Source organism: Homo sapiens, chromosome 2 (genome assembly GCF_000001405.40).
Source record: "Homo sapiens chromosome 2, GRCh38.p14 Primary Assembly".
Taxonomy (NCBI): domain Eukaryota; kingdom Metazoa; phylum Chordata; class Mammalia; order Primates; family Hominidae; genus Homo; species Homo sapiens.
This window is the reverse complement of record NC_000002.12, coordinates 86,114,315-86,134,179: the sequence shown is the minus strand read 5'-3', so window position 1 is coordinate 86,134,179 and position 19,865 is coordinate 86,114,315. Positions and strand designations below refer to the sequence as shown.

The following is a 19,865-nucleotide window of genomic DNA, read 5'->3' as shown; positions in this document are numbered from 1 at the left end:
AGGCTTATCCCAGGATTCCAGAAACCCACCAGGATTCACAGTGGAACAAATGTAAAAGCCAATGCCTGGGCCTTGCTCCAGTGACGTGTTCATCACGGCATGTGCACTACATGGGAGCAGCCACCAGCTCCACGTGGTTAAGACGTTGTTTTATAGCACTTGGGAATTTGATATACTTTTATCACTCATTAGAGCAGTCGTGTGAAGCAGGAGGGCGGGACTAGAGCCTACTGACTTTATGATACAGTAGTCACCTAGTGAAAGATACAGAATATCTATTTCATTTTGCAGCCAAGTTATACACATAAGACACACACACCCGTGATGCGTGATGCTCATGGCTATTACTTGGAAACAGAATCATCACTGACTGTGGTTAGTGAAGTGAGGCAACACTGGCACAGAGGAATTACACAGGCTTCCGGGTCAAAGACCTTTATTCAGATTTAGGGTCTGCCACGCCATTAGCATTTATTTTCTTTGGGTCATATCCCGCAACAGGTGCACAAAACTCAGCTCATTCCTATGTCACGAAGGGACTGACTTAAGTCATTTTCAACAAAATTTTCTCCTGATAGCCAACATGCAACATGAGCACATGACCTTGAAGTACATCTCAACTAACACATTTGGTTCAGTCAAAATGGAAGTTTTCATCCCTAACAGTAATGTTAGCACATTCATTATCAAAGTAGAGGATATTGAGGTGAGATGCACCTGGACACATAAAAAGTAAAACTGACCTTTCCAAATTTTAGGAATCACTTCTAGCCGATTGGCCACATCCAATGCTTGGAGAAGATGTATCATTGTTTGGGAGTGGGGAAAGTAGGCCTGATTAAGAGAAACACATTTTTAAAGCATTAATCTGCAGAAACCCAATTCATCTAGAATGATAAATAACAAGTAATGAACCATCTTACTGAAGGTATCAGGTCCTCATACCACTTCAAGGTAACATCAATTTGTTCCATTAGACAAATCAAATCGAAGAACTTGGAACTGTGATGAAGGCAAAAAGTATGTTTAGTCTAAAGTCCCTATGTCTAACAACAGGGGAAATAAGGGTTGAAATTATAGCATATTATATGTTACAAAGAATTTCAAAATACTTACAGTTTCAAGTTAAACGAGCCAATATTTGGTTTAAGAGCTGCCAGTGTGTGCTGACTTCTCAATTAAACACCCTACCCTCAACTGGTCATTTCTAACTGTTTCCTCTGTATACTCTTAGGTCATGGTGAATAGATACTGAATTTCAAATTCATTTTAAAAACATTCAATGTGAAACAAGGATTTGGATACACAGAAAACAATTCTCACACATCTGTTAACATGCTGCCTTCTTAAATTCATGTTCTTATCTGCCTAAAAGCAAACCCATTTAGGGAGTATCTCTAGGTTCCAGTATCTTCATCTTTGAATACAAAAGCAAGGGAGGTGAAAGGAAATCTTCAGGGCTCACCCTGCTATAACAATTTGAAAATGTAAAATGAGAGGGGGTAGAGGAAAAAGATATGTGGATTTTACAGTGTTGCAAAAAAAAAAAAAAAAAAACCCTTAAAGGACACAAACTAGTCTTTCAAATCTGGCAGTTTTACCACTGCTTTAATTCCTAAGTGCTCAATTAACATGTCCTATTAGATCATTGGCATGTTGCCTGAAACCAGAGGTGAGGTATGAAGGGACATCAACAGCCTCCCACTTGCAGAATCTGGTAACTCATGCAAAAGGATATGTTTCCAACACACTTACTAATAGAAATTACGATGTTGATCAGGTCCAATGAATTTCCAGTTGTCTCCGGTTTTTAAAAGGCCATGTACTTGGTAGGCAAGTTCTAGATCTCTGAGAGATGAGCACTGAAAATATGCAAGTAGTAAGTATCACTCTGATACCCTGTCAGCCAGTGGTTCACAAATAAATAACAACAGTAGAGTGTCTTGTGAAAATAATGTTGATTCAACATATTATTGGTTGACAGCAAGTAAGTTATAAGAAATGGGGGGGAGACAAATCCCAAGTTCTGTGAAATTTATTACAATATTATTTTAATTAAGCAATTATACCATTAAAAATTAATCCTGTAACAACACCTGGTCAAGTGCACAAAAGACACCTGCACTGCAGAGTCTGGACTAGTAAAAATCTCCATGAAATAACTCCAAAATCTACCCACAGGAAAGTTAAGTTATGGTTCTTACTATGAAATACTGGTTGCTGCCAACAAATAAAACACCCTGAAAGTATGCCTGGATATACATACGCTTGAGTACCCAGAGTAAAAACCTTGTGAGGATCCATACTAAATACTAGGTTGGTGCAAAAGTAATTGTGGTTTTTGCTATTGAAAGTAGCGGCTTTTGTAATTGCGGTTTTTGCCATGGAAAGTAATGGCAAAGGCCACAATTACTTTTGCACCAATCTAATAGTAAAGCAATTAAATTACCCTTAGGGAACAAGGTTCATCCTAAAACTGCCTGAAATTTTTCCTATGATAAGCATGATTACATAAACTAAAATAAAAACCATTATCAATTTTAACTTACTAATAGGCAAATCTGAAATATTATGGAAGCTTATCTGTTCAGGGGCATGAAAAATGTCAATGTAAACAATAAACAAAGGGTAGGGATAGTATGTGATTGAAAAGTACAGATTTTAGGCCAGGCGCGTTGGCTCAGGCCTGTAATCCCAGCACTTTGGGAGGTGGTCAGGAGTTCAAGACCAGTCTGGTCAACATGGTGAAACTACATCTCTACCACAAAAAATACAAAAATTAGCCAGGTGTGGTGGCGCACACCTGTAGTCCCAGCTATTCGGGAGGCTGAGGCAGGAGAATCGCTTGAACCCAGGAGGCAGAGGTTGCGGTGAGCCACTGCACTCCAGCATGGGGGACACAGTGAACCTCCATCTCAAAGAAAAAAAAAATTATAGATTTTAGAGAAAGAAGAAAAAACAGAAGCAAAGACATGAACAGAAGAGTTAGAAAGTGAAAAGAACCAGGGAGAACCCTCCAGTTACAGATAAATTTAGGAAATGGATAGCAAATTAATAAAGAAATGATACTTACTATGCTCATGGCTGACTGAAAAAACTTATCTGAAAATCAAAGTTCACAAGAGCTTTGGTTACAATGGATAAAATATATTTTCAAGTCAGTAACATTAACAAAAATCCTGCCAACAAAACTGGTAACATGCAAGATAAAGCTAAGAACATAAAAACTTAAGAGAGGCAGGAATGTACCACAATTTTGGCTTTCTCAGAAAGACCATGGCAAATATTACTAAGCTATATACACCTACTATGTACTCAAATTTATTTAAAAAAAAAAAAAAATACTTCTAAGCTATAGGGATCACAAGGCCTCTAACTGGTACTCAGGTAAACCGGCCCTCTGTCTTTAGAGGAGGAAAACACAAGTGATTTCTATACATGCCATCATCCGGGTCCTTTGGAGAAAATCTCTTTCCCATTAATTCATTCATTATATCATAAATGATGAAGGATGATCTCTTTAAAGGGTCTCCTGCAGAACAAGAAAGCAAATGTGTTTAATCCACTTCCTTTACCACCACCAAACTCACTGTACCTAATACAAAGGGACACATTTCTCCTTCCTCCACCTCCAGCCTAAGTCCTCGCATAGATCTGGGTGGAGGCCAATGCTTGCTAAAGGAACCACTATACCCTGCAGAGAGCAATTCTCTGTAAAATCTGGAATAATCACAGGTCTCTGTTCATGTGCTCCACTGAGACTTTCTCCTTCCTTTAGTCTCTTCACATGAAGCCTGACTTACTGAAGTAGGCGGCAGACAGTAACACACACTCCCTCACCAAACCAGCATACTTAGAAAAACAAAATTTTTTTTTTTTTGAGATGGAGTCTTGCATTATTGCCCTGGCTGGAGTGCGATGGCACAATCTCGGCTCACTGCAACCTCCGCCTCCCGGGTTCAAGCGATTCTCCTGCCTCAGCCTTCCGAGCAGCTGGGACTAACGCCCTCGCCACCACGCCTGGCTAATTTTTTGTATTTTTAGTAGAGGAGGGGTTTCCCCATGTTGGTCAGGCTGGTCTTGAACTCCTGACCTCGTGATCTGCCCGCCTCGGCCTCCCAAAGTGCTGGGACTACAGGCATGAGCCACTGCACCCGGCTAAAAATGTTTTTTGCTAGTAATCATTTGTGTTCCCTTTAAATATAATCAGAATGAGGTCAAGAAAAAGTAAACTAGAATTAATGGACAGGGCAGTTCTTAAATATAACATGAACTGAGCACTAATAGGTCAGAAAATCATCTGCAATATTCCCAGTCAAATATTTCTCTACACTCCTTTCCCTACCTGTTTTGTATGTTTGTGGTAGTAAAGCTGTAATGACAGTACAGATAGAGTTTCACAATTTACTCAAGCATGCTTCCCTTTGCTAATATTCTTAATTTTATTAGTTACATAATATTCTCTTTTCAATGTATTGTTTCTAGGTTATTTTAGGCTCTCTCTTTTGGGTAAATTCCTAGAAATTATTATTACTATTGAGACAGGGTCTTGCTCTGTCACCTAGGCTGGAGTGCAGTGGGGCAAACGCAGCTTACTGCAGCTTCAACCTCCTGGCCACAAGCAATCCTCCTGCCTCACACTCCTGAGTAGCTGGGACTACAGGGGTGCGCCACCATGCCCAGCTACTTTTTTCATGTTTAGTAGACATGGAGGTCTCTCTATGTTGGTTTCAAACTCCTGGGCTCAAGCAATCCTCCTGCCTTGGCTTCCTAAATTGCTGGGATTACAGGCGTAAGCCAAAACTACTGCTGCAGACAGGCAAATTTATATACATAAGACAAACCAACACAGCTCCCCCAGAACCCCCATCCCCCAGTCCTGGCTGTTACTTAGGAAATGTAAGTACATCTGACTTTGATTAGCAATTGAACCAGTGATGAGAGTTACAGAGGAAAGGAATATACTTTGGAGTCAGAAATACTAGCTCCATCACAATCTCACCAAGGTTGAGTAAAATTTTAGGGGACACAATTATGGAAACTGTTTACCTGTTTCCAAGGTATAGTCAATTAACTGGTTCCTTTTCCTAAAGATAAAATTTGCCTATACAGGTGAGGATATGGATTTTACAAAATTAGTCCTCCAAACCAGAGAGAAACAACTTCCCTTCTGTAATTTTTATAGTCTATCCACAAGAAAGAATGACTAGAACTGTCAATTCTGAACTCAAGGGTTATTTCTCAGGCTGGGGATAATGGACAAGAACCAAAAGATTTTGAGTGCCTCATATGTGCCCTCCAAGCACAGTAGCAGACACAGTGTGGAACTCATTTAACTACCACACCCTGCTGCTATTCCTCAGGTAGGTATCTAGTCGCTTTGACATAGCTGGTAAATAAATGGTAGAGTGGACATCTCAGCTCAGGTGTGTCTCTCTTCAAAGTCCATCTACTACAGAGCAGAGCTCCCACTGGAACTGACCTAAAAGTGGACAACGCATGGAGCCTTGAGGTCCTCCCAAAACGCTTCACAATAAGTTTACCTTTCCTCTGGAGCAGAAACGTCCACAAACTTTTGGCAAAGATGGAAATGTTCTGAATCTGCATCACGACACATGGTAGCCACTAGACACATGGCTACTGAGCACCAATGTGACAAAATAATTTATTATTTTACTTAATTTTAATTAACTGGCCACATGTGGCTAGTGGCTATGGTGTTAAATAGCACAGCTCCAGAGAACAAAAGGAATTTCAACCAAAATATATTCTACCCAATTCCTGTTTGTACAACATCACTGCCAGTACAATCCATAACCCTCTCCCCTCCAGCTCAAGTTTTAGACCACAAACAAGATTGCTACCCTCAAGAATAATTTTAGGTAGTAAGACCCTGTCCAAAAAAAAAAAAAAAAAATCAGCTAGGCATGCTGGTGGGCATCTGTAATCCTAACTACTCAGGAGGCTGAGGAGGGAGGACTGTTTGAGCCCAGGAGTTCAAGGCTGCAATGGGCAAGATCCTGTATCTAAAAAAACCACAACTTTCTGCTCAGGCTGTACAGGTTAATTTACAAATTCTCTCTTCTTAATTCATATGCAGAGAAGATAACTACAACAATTAATCACATAAACTCAAGAAAGCTGGTCAATTTTCTATATAAATTAACACAATTTAAGGCCATACATACCAGGTTGATCAAACAGGCGAATAATATGGTGATATGTTGCAAGCGAGGGTTCTCAAATTACCAGGTAGACAGAAAAAATAAACAATGAGGTAAAAACACAGCAATCCAAAACATAGTTTACTGAGACACACTGAATTAAAAACATATTGTTAATATTTAAGCAAAATATGCATTTCTATTCCTTTGAACAAAGTTATTTTCCAACTCATTAATGTAAAGGTAAAAAACTATCACAAAGACTGTATCACTTTTTGAAAGTCCAAATACTTATTAGTCACATTCTTCACTGAGAACAGTAAAATATATTGAAGTGAATTGATTCCCAAAGCAACTTTCAATAAAGTAATTAATGAAAAATATACAATACACTAGCACACACTTAGGTTCAAATACCTAATTATGTTGGGAAAATGTCATGAATTTAAAACTAGCTAACTCAAAGCAATCACTTCTCCTCAGATTCAACAGATCCATAAACAAAGTACCTAAAATACTAATGAACACTAAGATGATAAAGGCACTCCCACTATAATAAGTACATGTAAGTAAATGTGCCAAACATGGAAAGAAAATTTCCAACATATTATGTAAGCACAAGAATAATTTAAAGCTCTTTGCTTATGTAGCCCTGAAACCTCTGGCTGGCACAGTCTCTGTCCTCAGAGAACTCAAGGGCGCATCCTCACCTATTCCAATGGCTTTCATTTCACGTAAAACCTGTAAGGCTGGCGATCTTGCAAACACATGAAATCTTCGGAGACATTTCAGAATGGTATTAAAAGTCTGAAGATTTGGTTTCACCTTCTGTGCAACCATGTGTCTTAGCAGCTCCTAGGTGAATAAAAAACAAGAAGTATCTTTCATGCCTGGGTAATCTGTCCAATAATCTATGTTTCATACAAAGTAAAGAATTTAGCTTTCTTGCTTATGTTTAAAGCAGGTTAGTAACTATATCCCTCTTTTAAGAACTGTTTATTAATTAGCAGGTTCCATGATTCTGCCTTTTAAAGAAGCCTGCTAATTCAAACACCCACCCCACTTGATAGAGGTGGTCAACTGTCTTCAGTCTTCTACCTAGGAGAGTTTTCCAAGAAAAGACGCAAAAATAATAGACTAGTATGATATAAAAAAGTGGTTGGTTTTTTTTTTTTTTTGAGACAAAGTTTCGCTCTTCTTGCCCAGGCTGGAGTGCAGTGGTGCGATCTTGGCTCACTGCAACCTCTGCCTCGTGGGCTGAGGTGATTCTCCTGCCTCAGCCTCCTGAGTAGCTGCGACTACAGGCGAGCACCACTATGCCCGGCTAATTTTTGTATTTTTGTAGTAGAGACGGGGTTTCACCATGTTAGTCAGGCTGGTCACAAACTCCTGACCTAAGGTAATCCACCCGCCTCAGCCTCAAAGTGCTGGGATTATAGGCATGAGCCACCGTGCCCAGCCGTTTCTATTCTTAAGTTACTAGGCGAGAATCAATCCAGTGATTTCAACTTTTTGAAATTACACCTGATAGGATTTGACAGCAAATATGCATTACTTTGTAACAGAAAAACTATTATGAAAAATAAATGAATAAAATGGTCCAGAATTCTAGCTCTATACTCTCGGTCAAGCAACTTTTTCTTCTTATGTGCCAGACACAGCTGAGTCCCAGGGCTGCGGAAAGGGTAGTGAACAGGTAACTGCTACACAGTGACTGCCATACACATGCTCATAAATGCTGTCTCCAGCCCATGTACTTCTGTTTCTTTTTCTTTTTTTTTTTTTTGAGACGGAGTCTTGCTCTGTTGCCCAGGCTGGAGTGCAGTGGTGCGATCTCTGCTCACAGCAACCTCCGCCTCCCGGGTTCAATAGATTCTCTTGCCTCAGCTTCCCAAGTAGCTGGGATTACAGGCGTGCACCACCACGCCCAGCTAATTGTTTGTACTTTTAGTAGAGACGGGTTTCACCATGTTGGCCAGGCTGGTCTCCAACTCCTGGCCTCAGGTGATCTGCCCGCCTCGGCCTCCCAAAGTGCTGGTATTACAGGTTTGAGCCACCACACCTGGCCAGCCCATGTATTTCTGGTAAAGAGTATTTAAGCCCTATTAAAAAATAAACTGAGGATTCCTCCTTACCAGTATTTTACTCCATTTTTCCTCAAATTTCTCATTTATCGCACATACTGTTGCTTCAATCAATGCATTAAATGTGTATACATCAGCTGTAAAATAATAAAATGATAAAATTTGGGGTTGAAGATTAATCCCTAAATGGCTGAGTTTAAGGCAAAGCAGTCATTCCTATGTGTCCCTTGACTAATCACATGTCCACAAAACTGGAAAACTACTCTCCTCTCTGGATCTCTACTCTTGCTTCAATCATCTACGCCTCAGGAAAAGGTAAAGTGTAGGCCAATGACTGAGGCACGATCCAAAGCCTTCACACAGACAATTAAAAGAAGGAAATGGAGAAAGGGACAGAGGGGAGTTCTCAAACTCACCATGGAGTCTGTTGTTTAGTAACTCAGTGTACAAGTTTAATGCCTGCTCATAAGCTCGGTGCTGGAAAAGGAAAAATTAAGCATCATCAAATTCATTTACTTAAGAAGTCCTTGCACATTTCTGTCCTAGAGTTTGGTAATATAGCTCAGGCTCAATAGATCAGGCTCCTGTTCTCATGAAGCTCATACTCTAGTGCAGTGGGATTTTCTATCCACTGGTAATGCCTAAACATATTTTTATTTGTCACAACTGAAAGTGGGGGAGGAGTACACTACTCACATCCAGTGGGTAGAAGCCAGGGAGCTACTAACATCCTACAATGCACAGGACAGACCCCACAACAAATTACCTGACCCAAAATGTTAGTAGTTCTGAGGCTGAAACACCCTGATCGGTGGAAATGAAAGACAAAAATAAATAAAACAAATGTACCTTCACCATTCCTCGGATCATTGTGCAATAGGAATGTTCATTTTTCTCTGGCATTAGAGAAAAGATTCTCTCAGCGTTGTTTTTTGCTCTAGACACAAGAGAGTAAATGTGAACCCAGGCAATAAGAAATACCAATGAGAGCTACCACCATTTACTGACGGTTTATTATGTTCTAGGCAATGTGCCAAGTACTTTCTATACATTATCTCAATTCTTACAGGGTATTATGGTTATTATCATTTTGAAAATGGGGAAAATCAAGACTTAACGATCTTAATGTGTTGTCAGGGCTTCGCAGGTTAAGTGGCAGAATTACAATTGAAAATGAAAAGTTTATAAACAAGTATATAAATATCTGTGCTATTAAAAACAAGAAGCAACTGTATGACAAAGTCCCTAGTAAAGTTTCCTCACCTTTCTTCAATCTTCAGATACTACTTCCCAGAGGCAAAACGGTTTCTTTTGGATCCTTCTGGTCATATTCTAGCATATGTACTTTTAACTCTTCTCTCATTCCATAACCTCCACCTCCTGGGTTTAAGTGATTCTCCTGCCTCCACCTCTCGAGTAGCTGGAATTACAGGCACGTGCCACCACGCCTAGCTAATTGTTGTATTTTTAGTAGAGATGAGGTTTCACCATGTTGGCCAGGCTGGTCTCAAACCCCTGACCTCAAGTGATCCACCTGCCTCGGCCTCCCACGGCACCAGGATTACAGGTGTGAGGCACTGCGTCCAGCCTACCCCAAGGAATTTAATCTTTCATCCTATCAAATTCATCACTTCAATAACAATTTTAGATAATCATGGTAGCTTTCCCTCTCCAGACATTCACATGAAGTGTCTTCCTTTTAGACACCCAGCTAATTCTCCAATATAATTAAGTTATTACCTTTCATTCAAACTGCTGTGTATGTCTACATGTTGTCAGTGGTCTTAATTTAGCAGTACACTCTAGTGTCCATGATATTTTTAGTAAACAAAAGTATTAAATCTTTCAGAATTAGAGGTATATATTCCAAGGTAGCACTGTTAATGAAACTACCAAAGGAACCATACCATATGAAAGTTATGCTGAGTTAAACAGATGAGGGAAAAAAAAGGGTCAAAGTCTCAACAGATTCTTGTGTTGTTGAATGGAGATAAAGACCTTATTGAAAAACGGTCTAAATGTGTATGAATACAAATAGTGAAATTTATATTGCACAATAAAAATCAATTATTTTAGAACATCACAAGAAAACATCTTCACAGGGTGATGGGGCATATTCCATGCACTGTAAGACACTGTAATTCAAGGTTCTAATTACGTGTGACATACCGCCATGTAACTCCAAACTGATGACCAGCTTTCCTCCTAGATGTCTCATCATTTTCCTCTTCCTGAAATGAATAATCATCAAAAGAAATAAAAGTTAAGGCAATGGAATGCATTTCCCAGTCAGACTACTCAAAATCAGAAAGGCAAAGGGAACTCAGAAAAATAAAGGAAACATAGATCCAGCAGAAGGCAAAGAGGAAGCCCAGTTACGCTTACACCTATACAGTTAATTTCTTAAGTGCAAATCAGATGAAAGGCCAAGTTGACTCTCAAAGCAACAAGTGACAGCGTGGAGACAAGATGAAGCCAGTTCCCTGTATGGCCTGGTCCTCAGACAGAAAGAGGAAAACCAAACAACACAGCCTATTTGCTCAGAGACTACATCTGGCTTGATCCATACAGATAAACTGTCATAATTAGGGTGAAAGCAAGATAAACAACATATAGTTAATGCCTAACACTCACCCAAGCAAACTAAGACTTCTTTTTTTTTTTTTTTTTAAGACAGAGTCTCGCTCTCTCGCCCAGGTTGGAATGCAGTGGCGTGGTCTTGGCTCACTGCAACCTCCACCTCCTGGGTTCAAGGAATTCTCCTGCCTCAGCCTCCGGAGTAGCTGGGACTACAGGCGCGTGCCACCACGCCCAGCTAATTTTTTGTATTTTTTTTAGTAGGGACGGGATTTCACCATGTTAGCCAGGATGGTCTCGATCTCCTGACCTCATGATCCACCCGCCTCGGCCTCCCAAAGTGCTGGGATTACAAGTATGAGCCACTGCACCTGGCAAGACTTCTTACAAGAATAAATCTTGTCTTTATTTATAAACCAAGGTCTGGGATGAGGCTGACGTAGAGCAATACAGGCTTGGTTGGCATTGCAGAGGTCAGTGTTGGCTCTGTAGCCTGCTGCCTCAAGAGCTGGGGCTGGAGAGGCAGAGGGCCAACCAGAGCAGGGCTTCAGGAAGTGATACTCTGGAAAGCAAGGTTTAACTGCAACCTACTGCCTATGCACTTTTAAAAATGTAAAGTTCTCTACATAAATAATCCACATTTGGCCAGGTGCAGTGGTCAGTAATCCCAAAACTTTAGGAGACTGAAGGATCACCTGAGCCCCAGAGTTGAAGACACCATCCTGGGCACTACAGCAAGACCCTATGTCTACCCGCCCTCCCCACCCCAAAAAAAACTAGCCAGACATGGTGGCCCACACTTGTGGTCCCAGCTATTTGGGAGAATGAGGAAGGAGGAACACTTGAGCTCAGGAGTTAAAGGCTGCAGTAAGCTATGATAGCATCACTGCACTCCACCCTAGGTGACAGAGTGAGACCCTGTCTCTGAGGGGGAAACAAGAAATCCACATTTAGTTGGGCAAAGAGTAGAAAAGATAGAAACGAAGAAAAACACCAATAATCCCATCACCCAGAAACACTTTTTAAATGATTTTTTTGTATGCATTTGTAAAAACATTTTTACAAAAATGGAATATATACTGCTGATAGCCTGCTTCCCACTTATTGGATGAATGTTTCCATACCCAAACACATCTACTCTAATGTGCTCAATGGCCACACAACTTTTATCATCATTTGATCATCTACTGTTGGACATCTAGATTGTTTTCAACATTTTTGCAAGTATAAATACCTCCTCATGAAAAATGTCACATGAGCATCTCTATTTGACTGATCCAAAGGATTTCTTGAGACCTAGTTCTAGAAGTAAAATTCGCGAGTCGAGAGAGAGGCTATGACTCAACTTACAGGCGGGCCCCGGCACACTACTGTTCTGTCTCCAGCCTAGTGTGTTCTCTCCTCTAAGTCCACGTATGAATTTTTGAGGGGGCCCAGGCCACGGAGTCTTTCCCTGGCCAGAATACATCATGTCATTACTCTAAGTGGCACAGGCCAGCCCAAACATTTCTGATCAACGCTTTGCCTTAATATGAAGTAGGTGAGGACAACATATTGTTAAAAAGTAAACTAGGACAGAAGTAACTGTTTAAAATCTCTCTTCCTCCTATACCACTTTTTATCAAGGCTATCGTACCACACATCTCAGTACAAATCTCTACTACCCTGACACATGGCAAAACAACCCATCTTATTTTTAAAAGCAATTTCTTCAAAAAGAAGCTTAAGGAAAAAAAAAAATCAAGGCCAACAGTTATTACCAATGCTTCTGACTGTCCAGTTTGTTGAAAATGGTAATCAGTTGAGGGCTCCTGGTCACCATAGTAACACAATAAATCCAAGAGACTATTTGTTGTTTCAAGAGACACAGTGGTTCCTGTGGGTAAGAGACAGAAAGATAAAGAAACCTTGAAACAATGAAGAACTAAAGCCTGTTAGGTTAAAATGTGTCATTTTTTTATATTAGCGGTGGTCTTCAGGGCTACACACTTAATGTTGTCCACTACTTTATGCACTCAACGTCAACTTAAACACCTGAAGTGACGTAGACAGGGACATAACCCCTATTAACCATGTAATTTGACGTAGAAGATTGGAACACAAGATGAAGTTTGGGCCTGTGCTCACTTATTTTATGTACTCATTATCCTCAAACTACTTCATGGTTTTAATTATCATCACCAAACTGAACACACTGCAAACTATCCCCACTTAGTTCCCCCAGCCCAGGTGCATTTGAACAAATGCAAGTAGAATTATTCCATTTGGATCCAGATACTCACTGAAAACTTGCCTAGAAATACTAGCATAATTGTCGAACTATAGTAGTCTCTTAAAAATTGTTCAAAACATTATGTCCCCATCTTGACACTCATTAAAAAGGCTAAAAAGGGAATAGGAGGAAGACAAGTATGAGATATAATCTGCTATCTTATAAGAAAAGTAAATGTATCTTTTTGTTTTGAGATAGGGTCTCATTCTGTCGCCCAGGCTGGAGTGCAAGGACATCACAGCTTACTACAACCTTGAACTTCTGGGCTCAAGTGATCCTCTCACCTCAGCCTTCCGAGCAGCTGTGACTACAGGTATGTGCCACTGCACCTGGCTAATTTTTAAATTTTTTGTAGAGATGAGGTCTCGCTATGTTGCCCAGGCTGGTCTTGAACTCCTGGGCTCAAGCAATCCTCCTGTTTTGGCCTCCCAAAGTGCTGGGATTACAGGTGTGAGCCACCATGCCTAGCCAATAAATTATCTTTCTAAACAAAATACATTGATAAATTTAAAATGCCCATCAGGAAATGTAAAAAGTCCAGAAGAGAAAGCAGGGCAGAGGGTACAGGCTATGGAGAAGCAACTGGTTCACACTATCTCAAAGCTATGAGACCCTGGAAAAATTACCTAATAATTACCTTCATAAGATTATTATAAAACACACCAATGAATAAGGTATTGTAGAATTAAGTATGTGAAATGGCTAGCACAGTGTTTTGCACTTATTAGGGGCCTGACAATGAAATGTTCTAGGATCCTTTCCCTGGTATGTTAGCTCACTTTGTTACTGAGCTATGGGTCTGACACCTGTCTTTACTGAAGGACTGCACACACCTATCCAATAAAGGGGGTAAAACTAGAAAAAGACAAGCCTTAGCACTAAGAACTTCAATGCAGACTCACACCAGATGCCGATCATATTAACAAGCAGAGGGAAGCGCCTCACTAAATTACAATCTATTGCCATCACTCAGCCATACATCTGATGCTGTACCAAGCCACACACCAAAATTCTCAAACATAGCTTTCTGCAAATGTTTCTTGTGTTCAAGTGTATAATGATTCAGTCCAGTTTCCACCACTTCCATGTTTATTCTAAATCACCAAATAGCACTCTAGATTCTAAAAACTTAATGCCAGCTGCTTCTGATGTTGCTATATGTAGATTTTCATGTTGACTTATCAGCTGTGCTATTTACGTGTGTAGCTCCGCAAGTTTACATCCAGCTCCAATTCAGAGAACCACACAATTTTAGAGCTAGAAGTTTTGAGAAATTAAGTAACTTTTTGAATGCTAAGAACAATTAGTGACACAGATGGCACCAGCATCAAAGCCCCTGATCCTAGTTGAGTGTGCTTTCCTTTTCACGTATTTCTTTCTTGTGTGTTGTGGCCCAATCTTCCAAACATCCTTAAAGAGTCTAGGAAAGCTGGGCGCGGTGGCTCACGCCTGTAATCACAGTACTTACGGAGGCCGAGGTGGGTGGATCACGAGGTCAGGAGATCGAGACCATCCTGGCTACATGGTGAAACCCCGCCTCTATTAAAAACACAAAAAAGTTAGCTGGGCGTGGTGGTGGGTGCATGTAGTCCCAGCTACTCAGGAGGCTGAGGAGGGAGAATGGCATGAACCTGGGAGGCGGAGCTTGCAGTCAGCCGAGATTGCGCCACTGCACTCCAGCCTGGGCGACAGAGCAAGACTCCATCTCAAAAAAAAAAAAAAGGAAAAGGGTACAGGAAATCTGGGAGCACTGCATACCTACCTAACATTAAAAACAGAAGCTAAGGTAGAAGGGTGATACAATTTCTCTACCAGTGCTACAATAAACCAACAAAGCTGCAATTCTACTTCGCCTGTAATTCTTAAGTAACACTAAAGCTAAAAATGAAATAAACTACTAAAAATATAAAGCACGCAGCCATCAAAGCAGAGTAAGTACAGCAGGACCTGTAACTCTTACTCAAAATATATGAATCATATAACTTGGGCCCACTTCAAAGCCCATGTTATTAGAGGGGCTTTAATCGAACTCAGTCACCTGCTTGCAAAAGCTGATCAAACATGTCCACAGAGGCTTTGACTTTTCTGAGCTCAATTCGTTCCTTCAGGGCGGCTTCACTTATGTCTTTGATCTGAGGTTCAAAGTACTCAGGCATTAAACACTAGGAAAACAAGATGACTAAAGTTACTACAAACAGGTAAAGGTGAGGGAAGGATAACTGAGTAGGACAAAACTTTTATCACCAACATACCAAAGTAAAACTTCACTGCTCCAATTCATGTTTCCTGCACCAGATACTACTGATCATTTTAACATCACTGTCTTCACAGGGAATTGAACTAAACCTTTCATCTCTAATGCTGTGTATCATCTAAACATTTAATACTACCCAAGGTATGCTGATTTTACCTCATTCACTAACTTATTCAAATACTTTCTGAATGCCTACTATTTTACCCCAGACATTAAGCTTGGCACTGGGGATACAGAGACGAAAGGCATTCTCTACCTTCAGGGTGCTCACAATCTAATGGAGAAAGACACTGTCTTAGTTTAGGATTTTAATATTTTGACTTACACAATCACACTGGCTTCCTCATCTATGTGCAAGTTCTACTATGAAAACAAGAAGTGTGTGTTTCCCTGTGAGCTTTGGGAAGCAGAGAGATGTAGGGATATGGGAGCAGTTTAGATATGATGAGTCTGAGATTAGTACTTCCACCAACAAACTCAGGAGGGCAGAGGCGCATCTGTTTTGCTCACCACTGTATGGACAAGCACTAAGCACAATACCCACCACACTGCATAAATCCTCACTCCAAAACTACAGAACAAAGAGGGAGCTGGAAATACAATGTGGAGTTCAAAGTAAAGGGATCTAGGCTAGATATACAAAAGAGTACCAAATGGATTATAAGCGTCACTGAAACAGAAGAGTATACACAATAAAAAGAGAAAATGAGCATAAAAATCTAAGAAAGATACCCATGCTTAAGAAGTGGATCAAGGCCGGACACGGTGGCTCACACCTGTAATCCCAGGACTTTGGGAGGCCAAGTCGGGTGGATCACGAGGTCAGGAGTTCAAGACCAGCCTGGCCAAGATGGTAAAACCCCGTCTCTACTAAAACTATAAAAATTAGCCAGGTGCGGTGGCAGGCACCTGTAATCCCAGCTGCTCAGGAGGCTGAGGCAGGAGAATTGCTTGAACCCGGGCGGCAGAGGCTGCAGTGAGCCAAGATCGTGCCACTGCACTCCAGCCTGGGCAACAGAGTGAGACTCCATCTCAAACAAAAACAAACAAAAAAAGAAGCGGATCAAGAGCAAGCAGCAGTGGCTTACACCTGCAATCCCAGAGATTGCAGAGGCTGAGAAGGGTGTTTGCTTGAGCCCAGAAATTTGAGACCAGCCTGGGCAGTGCAGTGAGACAAGACCCTGTTCTCTACAAAAACTAAAAATTAAAAAAAATCAGCCAGGCATGGTGGCACACCCCTGTAGTCCAAGCTACTTGTGAGGCTGAGGCAAGAGGATCACTTGAGCCCAGGGGTTCCAGGCTGCAATGAGCTATGATTGTACCATTGCACTCCAGCCTGGGTGACAGCATGATGCCGTTTCAAAAAAAAAAAAAAGGAAGAGAAAGATGTGTATAGAGAGGTAGTGAAGGAAACTTCAGTCATAGAATTAAAGACCTAAGAGCATGGTGTCACAAAAATCAAATGGGGAAAATATTAAGATGAAGAGCAAATAAATACAGAAAGAATTTTAAAGTTAGTCTTGTGATCAAAGCTAACTCCACACTTTAAAAGGCTTATCATCCAAATATTGAGGGTATTCAAATAGCTACTGAAATATTAGCCATGAAAGCCTGGTTTAATTTACATTTAAAATAGTATTATGTAAATAATGTAACTACCTCTCCTTACCGGTATATGAGGTTCAGCTATGTCCTTCTGAAAATATTTGGGGTATGAATTAATAATAAACTTGGCCACATTCTCCCCGGATTTCTTTGCCAGTAAAAATGAACGCTATATAAAGAAAAAGATTTAAATACATGTAATTTAAACTCAAGCAAGATTATAGTTACACTCTCAGCAAGAATTTCTCCCCCCTCACAAAAAAAAACAAATGCAACAACACGCAGAATCCCAATTAGAAATTATAGACTATCCCACCTTTTCTACTGTGATATAATTTCAGTTAGCATCTTATACACAGCTTGAAATATATAAAAAGCAAGCCATTTAAACTGAGTGGGTCACTCCAGTGTGAAAAAGCCCTAAGTATTAGAAACCAAAACCAAAAATCCTTTCCCCATTGACGATATGTACATCTTTTTGAAGAAAGTAGTAAAGGATTCACATAGTCTATCAATTTCTCAGCATTTGTAAACCTTTCCCAGGTTATTACAACTAAATTATTTATGTACTGTTGTACGCAAACCAGAGAGATAAAACACTAGAAAATTATATGAAAATACTCACAGATTCCAAAGATGATGCTGGCATAAGGTAAGGATCATCTTGAAACACATAAGGCACAGCTGTGGTATCCTGTGGAAAAGACATAATACAATTTCTATATTTATTTTGAAGACAGCTCACTGTAACTTTTAGCTCCTGGACTCAAGGGATTCTCCTGCCTCAGCCTCCCAAGTAGCCTAGGCTACAGGTGTGTGCCACCACAGCTGGCCATTTCACAAAATTTTTTGCAGAGAGGGTGTCTTGCTGTGTCACCCAAGCTGGTCTCAAACTCCTGGCCTCAAGCAGTTCTCTCACTTCTGCCTTACAAAGGGCTAGGATTATAGACGTGAGCCACTGTATCCAGCCCACAAGTCTTTCTAGCTAAATTTTTAAGAGGACCTTGTGAGTTTTGATAAACAAAAATTCCGTAAGTTGTAATTATGTATGTAACCTAAATGCGCAAACGTGTGTGGGCATATATACATGTATATATAGAGAAAAAAGACAAAAGACAAACACCTGCACTGTACTCTCAGCTCTACAAGACTTGCCTTTAATTATGCAAGGCAAGCAATGGCTTAAGCCTCCCTCCCCATGGCTGATTTTAATATTTAAGTTTGCTACCACTGGGGACTGTTTTAAACTCTAGGTAAGAATCATCTGAATTAACTAGTCCTAACAGCAGAATCCCAGAATAGGATTTCCTCCAAAGCAAGGTCACTATCCACCCACGCTCAACTTCACCAAGAGTCCCTCCTCCAAATGGAAGATATCACCGTGCCCTCTGAGGAATGAACAACAGAACCTTCTCCCACGTCCTGTTACCCATTAAAATTGCTCCCTAAACCTGAGCATAATCAACTCTCCAATACCACCAGGGGCCCCACTGAGAAATGCCCCAGAATTGCTTTCTTTATTCTCTTCTGTGTCTGAGTGCCTTACTTGGGCCTTTATTCCAAAGCAAAAACTTATCCTATATCCTTAATGCTGTTTTACTGACCTGGACTCCTCAGGGAGGGGGCACAGAAGCTTCCCTGCAGCTCTCAACGGAAAGCTGCTCATACCTGGAACCTGGAGGCAGTGTTTTATTTTGGACCTAGCTTTCTGCTACCCCTTTCAAAAACCCCTTTCCCTTGAGCCTCACCTTAGCAGCCCTGTTGTGAACTTCAGTTTTTATTTGAATTATACTAATGGAAAGCCAATGTTGAATTCTTAAGAGTGATATGATCCAGGGTCACTACAGCTGCTGAACTGAGAGCAGTGTGCAGGGAGGTGCAGTGGGAGACGACAGAGACTGCTGCAATTAATCCAGACTTGTAAGACGACAATAACCAAGGTGACTGGTAGTGATATCAGGCATCTAAAATTTTGATATTTTGCAGAAAAGAGTTAACAGACCTGAAACCATTATCCTTAGGAAGGTCTGCGTCCAAGGCTGGCCCTTGGCTGCCATCTGGGAACCTGGATATTGGAAGGGTTCTCACCATTCCTAGAACTGCTAAGAATGGTTCACTGTGCCTAACCTGTTTGTACAACGTGTTTTGTGCCAAACACCTGCTTCCCTTCTGGGAGTATGGAAACTTGGTATAATATATGCCAGCCAGTGGGTGGTCTACATGGCCAGCCTCCCCTAAAAACTCTGGGCACTGGGTCTCTAATGAGCTTTGGTAGACACTTTGCATGTGTTGTCACAAGTCACTGATGGAGGAATTAAGCATGTCCTGTGTTGAATCTTCTGGAGAGGTCTTTTGGAAGCTTGTGACTGATTTCTTTTGGTCTTTATCCAATGAGCCTTTTCTCTTTGCTGACTTTGCTTTGTATCTTCTTGCTGTCATAACTCTTAGCCTGGGAGTGGTCACGGAGACCTCACACACACGTATCTTTTGAAGGGATAAACAAAGGCTTTGCTAACAATTCCCAGGATTTTGGCCTGAGCAGCTATAAGAATGGAGTTGCCATTAATGAGATGGCAAAGAAATATGTGAGGAATGTTTGGAGGGAATGGGGTTTGGTTTTGGATATGCTAAGCTCTTTATCACACTCTCAAGTGGAAAGCTTTCCCATTCTCCACATAGCTCTCTTTTCTAAAATGTCTGCTTAGAATTCCTTTACCCCCATCCTGGCTAACACAGTGAAACTCCGTCTCTACTAAAAATACAAAAATTAGCCGGGCGTGGGGGTGGGGGCGCCTGTAGTCCCAGCTACTCAGGAGGCTGAGGCAGGAGAATGGCGTGAGCCCAGGAGGCAGAGCTTGCAGTGAGCTGAGATTGCGCCACTGCACTCCAGCCTGGGTGACAGAGGGAGA

At 40.9% G+C, this 19,865-nt stretch overlaps 1 protein-coding gene across 1 annotated transcript in view; it reads right to left on the bottom strand.

Moving 5' to 3' along the window:
• PTCD3 (pentatricopeptide repeat domain 3) overlaps positions 1-19,865 on the bottom strand; it is a 35,923-nt gene that overhangs the window by 7,978 nt on the left and 8,080 nt on the right. Inside the window, exons 5-19 of the mRNA NM_017952.6 lie at positions 17,582-17,650; positions 17,021-17,125; positions 15,136-15,259; positions 12,586-12,701; positions 10,418-10,479; positions 9,098-9,185; positions 8,665-8,725; positions 8,300-8,385; positions 6,875-7,019; positions 6,189-6,239; positions 3,443-3,532; positions 3,074-3,102; positions 1,756-1,862; positions 924-1,002; positions 744-834 (exon numbers count right to left, since the gene is read on the bottom strand). Coding sequence (NP_060422.4) covers positions 744-834; positions 924-1,002; positions 1,756-1,862; positions 3,074-3,102; positions 3,443-3,532; positions 6,189-6,239; positions 6,875-7,019; positions 8,300-8,385; positions 8,665-8,725; positions 9,098-9,185; positions 10,418-10,479; positions 12,586-12,701; positions 15,136-15,259; positions 17,021-17,125; positions 17,582-17,650 — 1,303 coding nt within the window. The remainder of the gene's footprint in view (positions 1-743; positions 835-923; positions 1,003-1,755; positions 1,863-3,073; positions 3,103-3,442; positions 3,533-6,188; positions 6,240-6,874; positions 7,020-8,299; positions 8,386-8,664; positions 8,726-9,097; positions 9,186-10,417; positions 10,480-12,585; positions 12,702-15,135; positions 15,260-17,020; positions 17,126-17,581; positions 17,651-19,865) is intronic.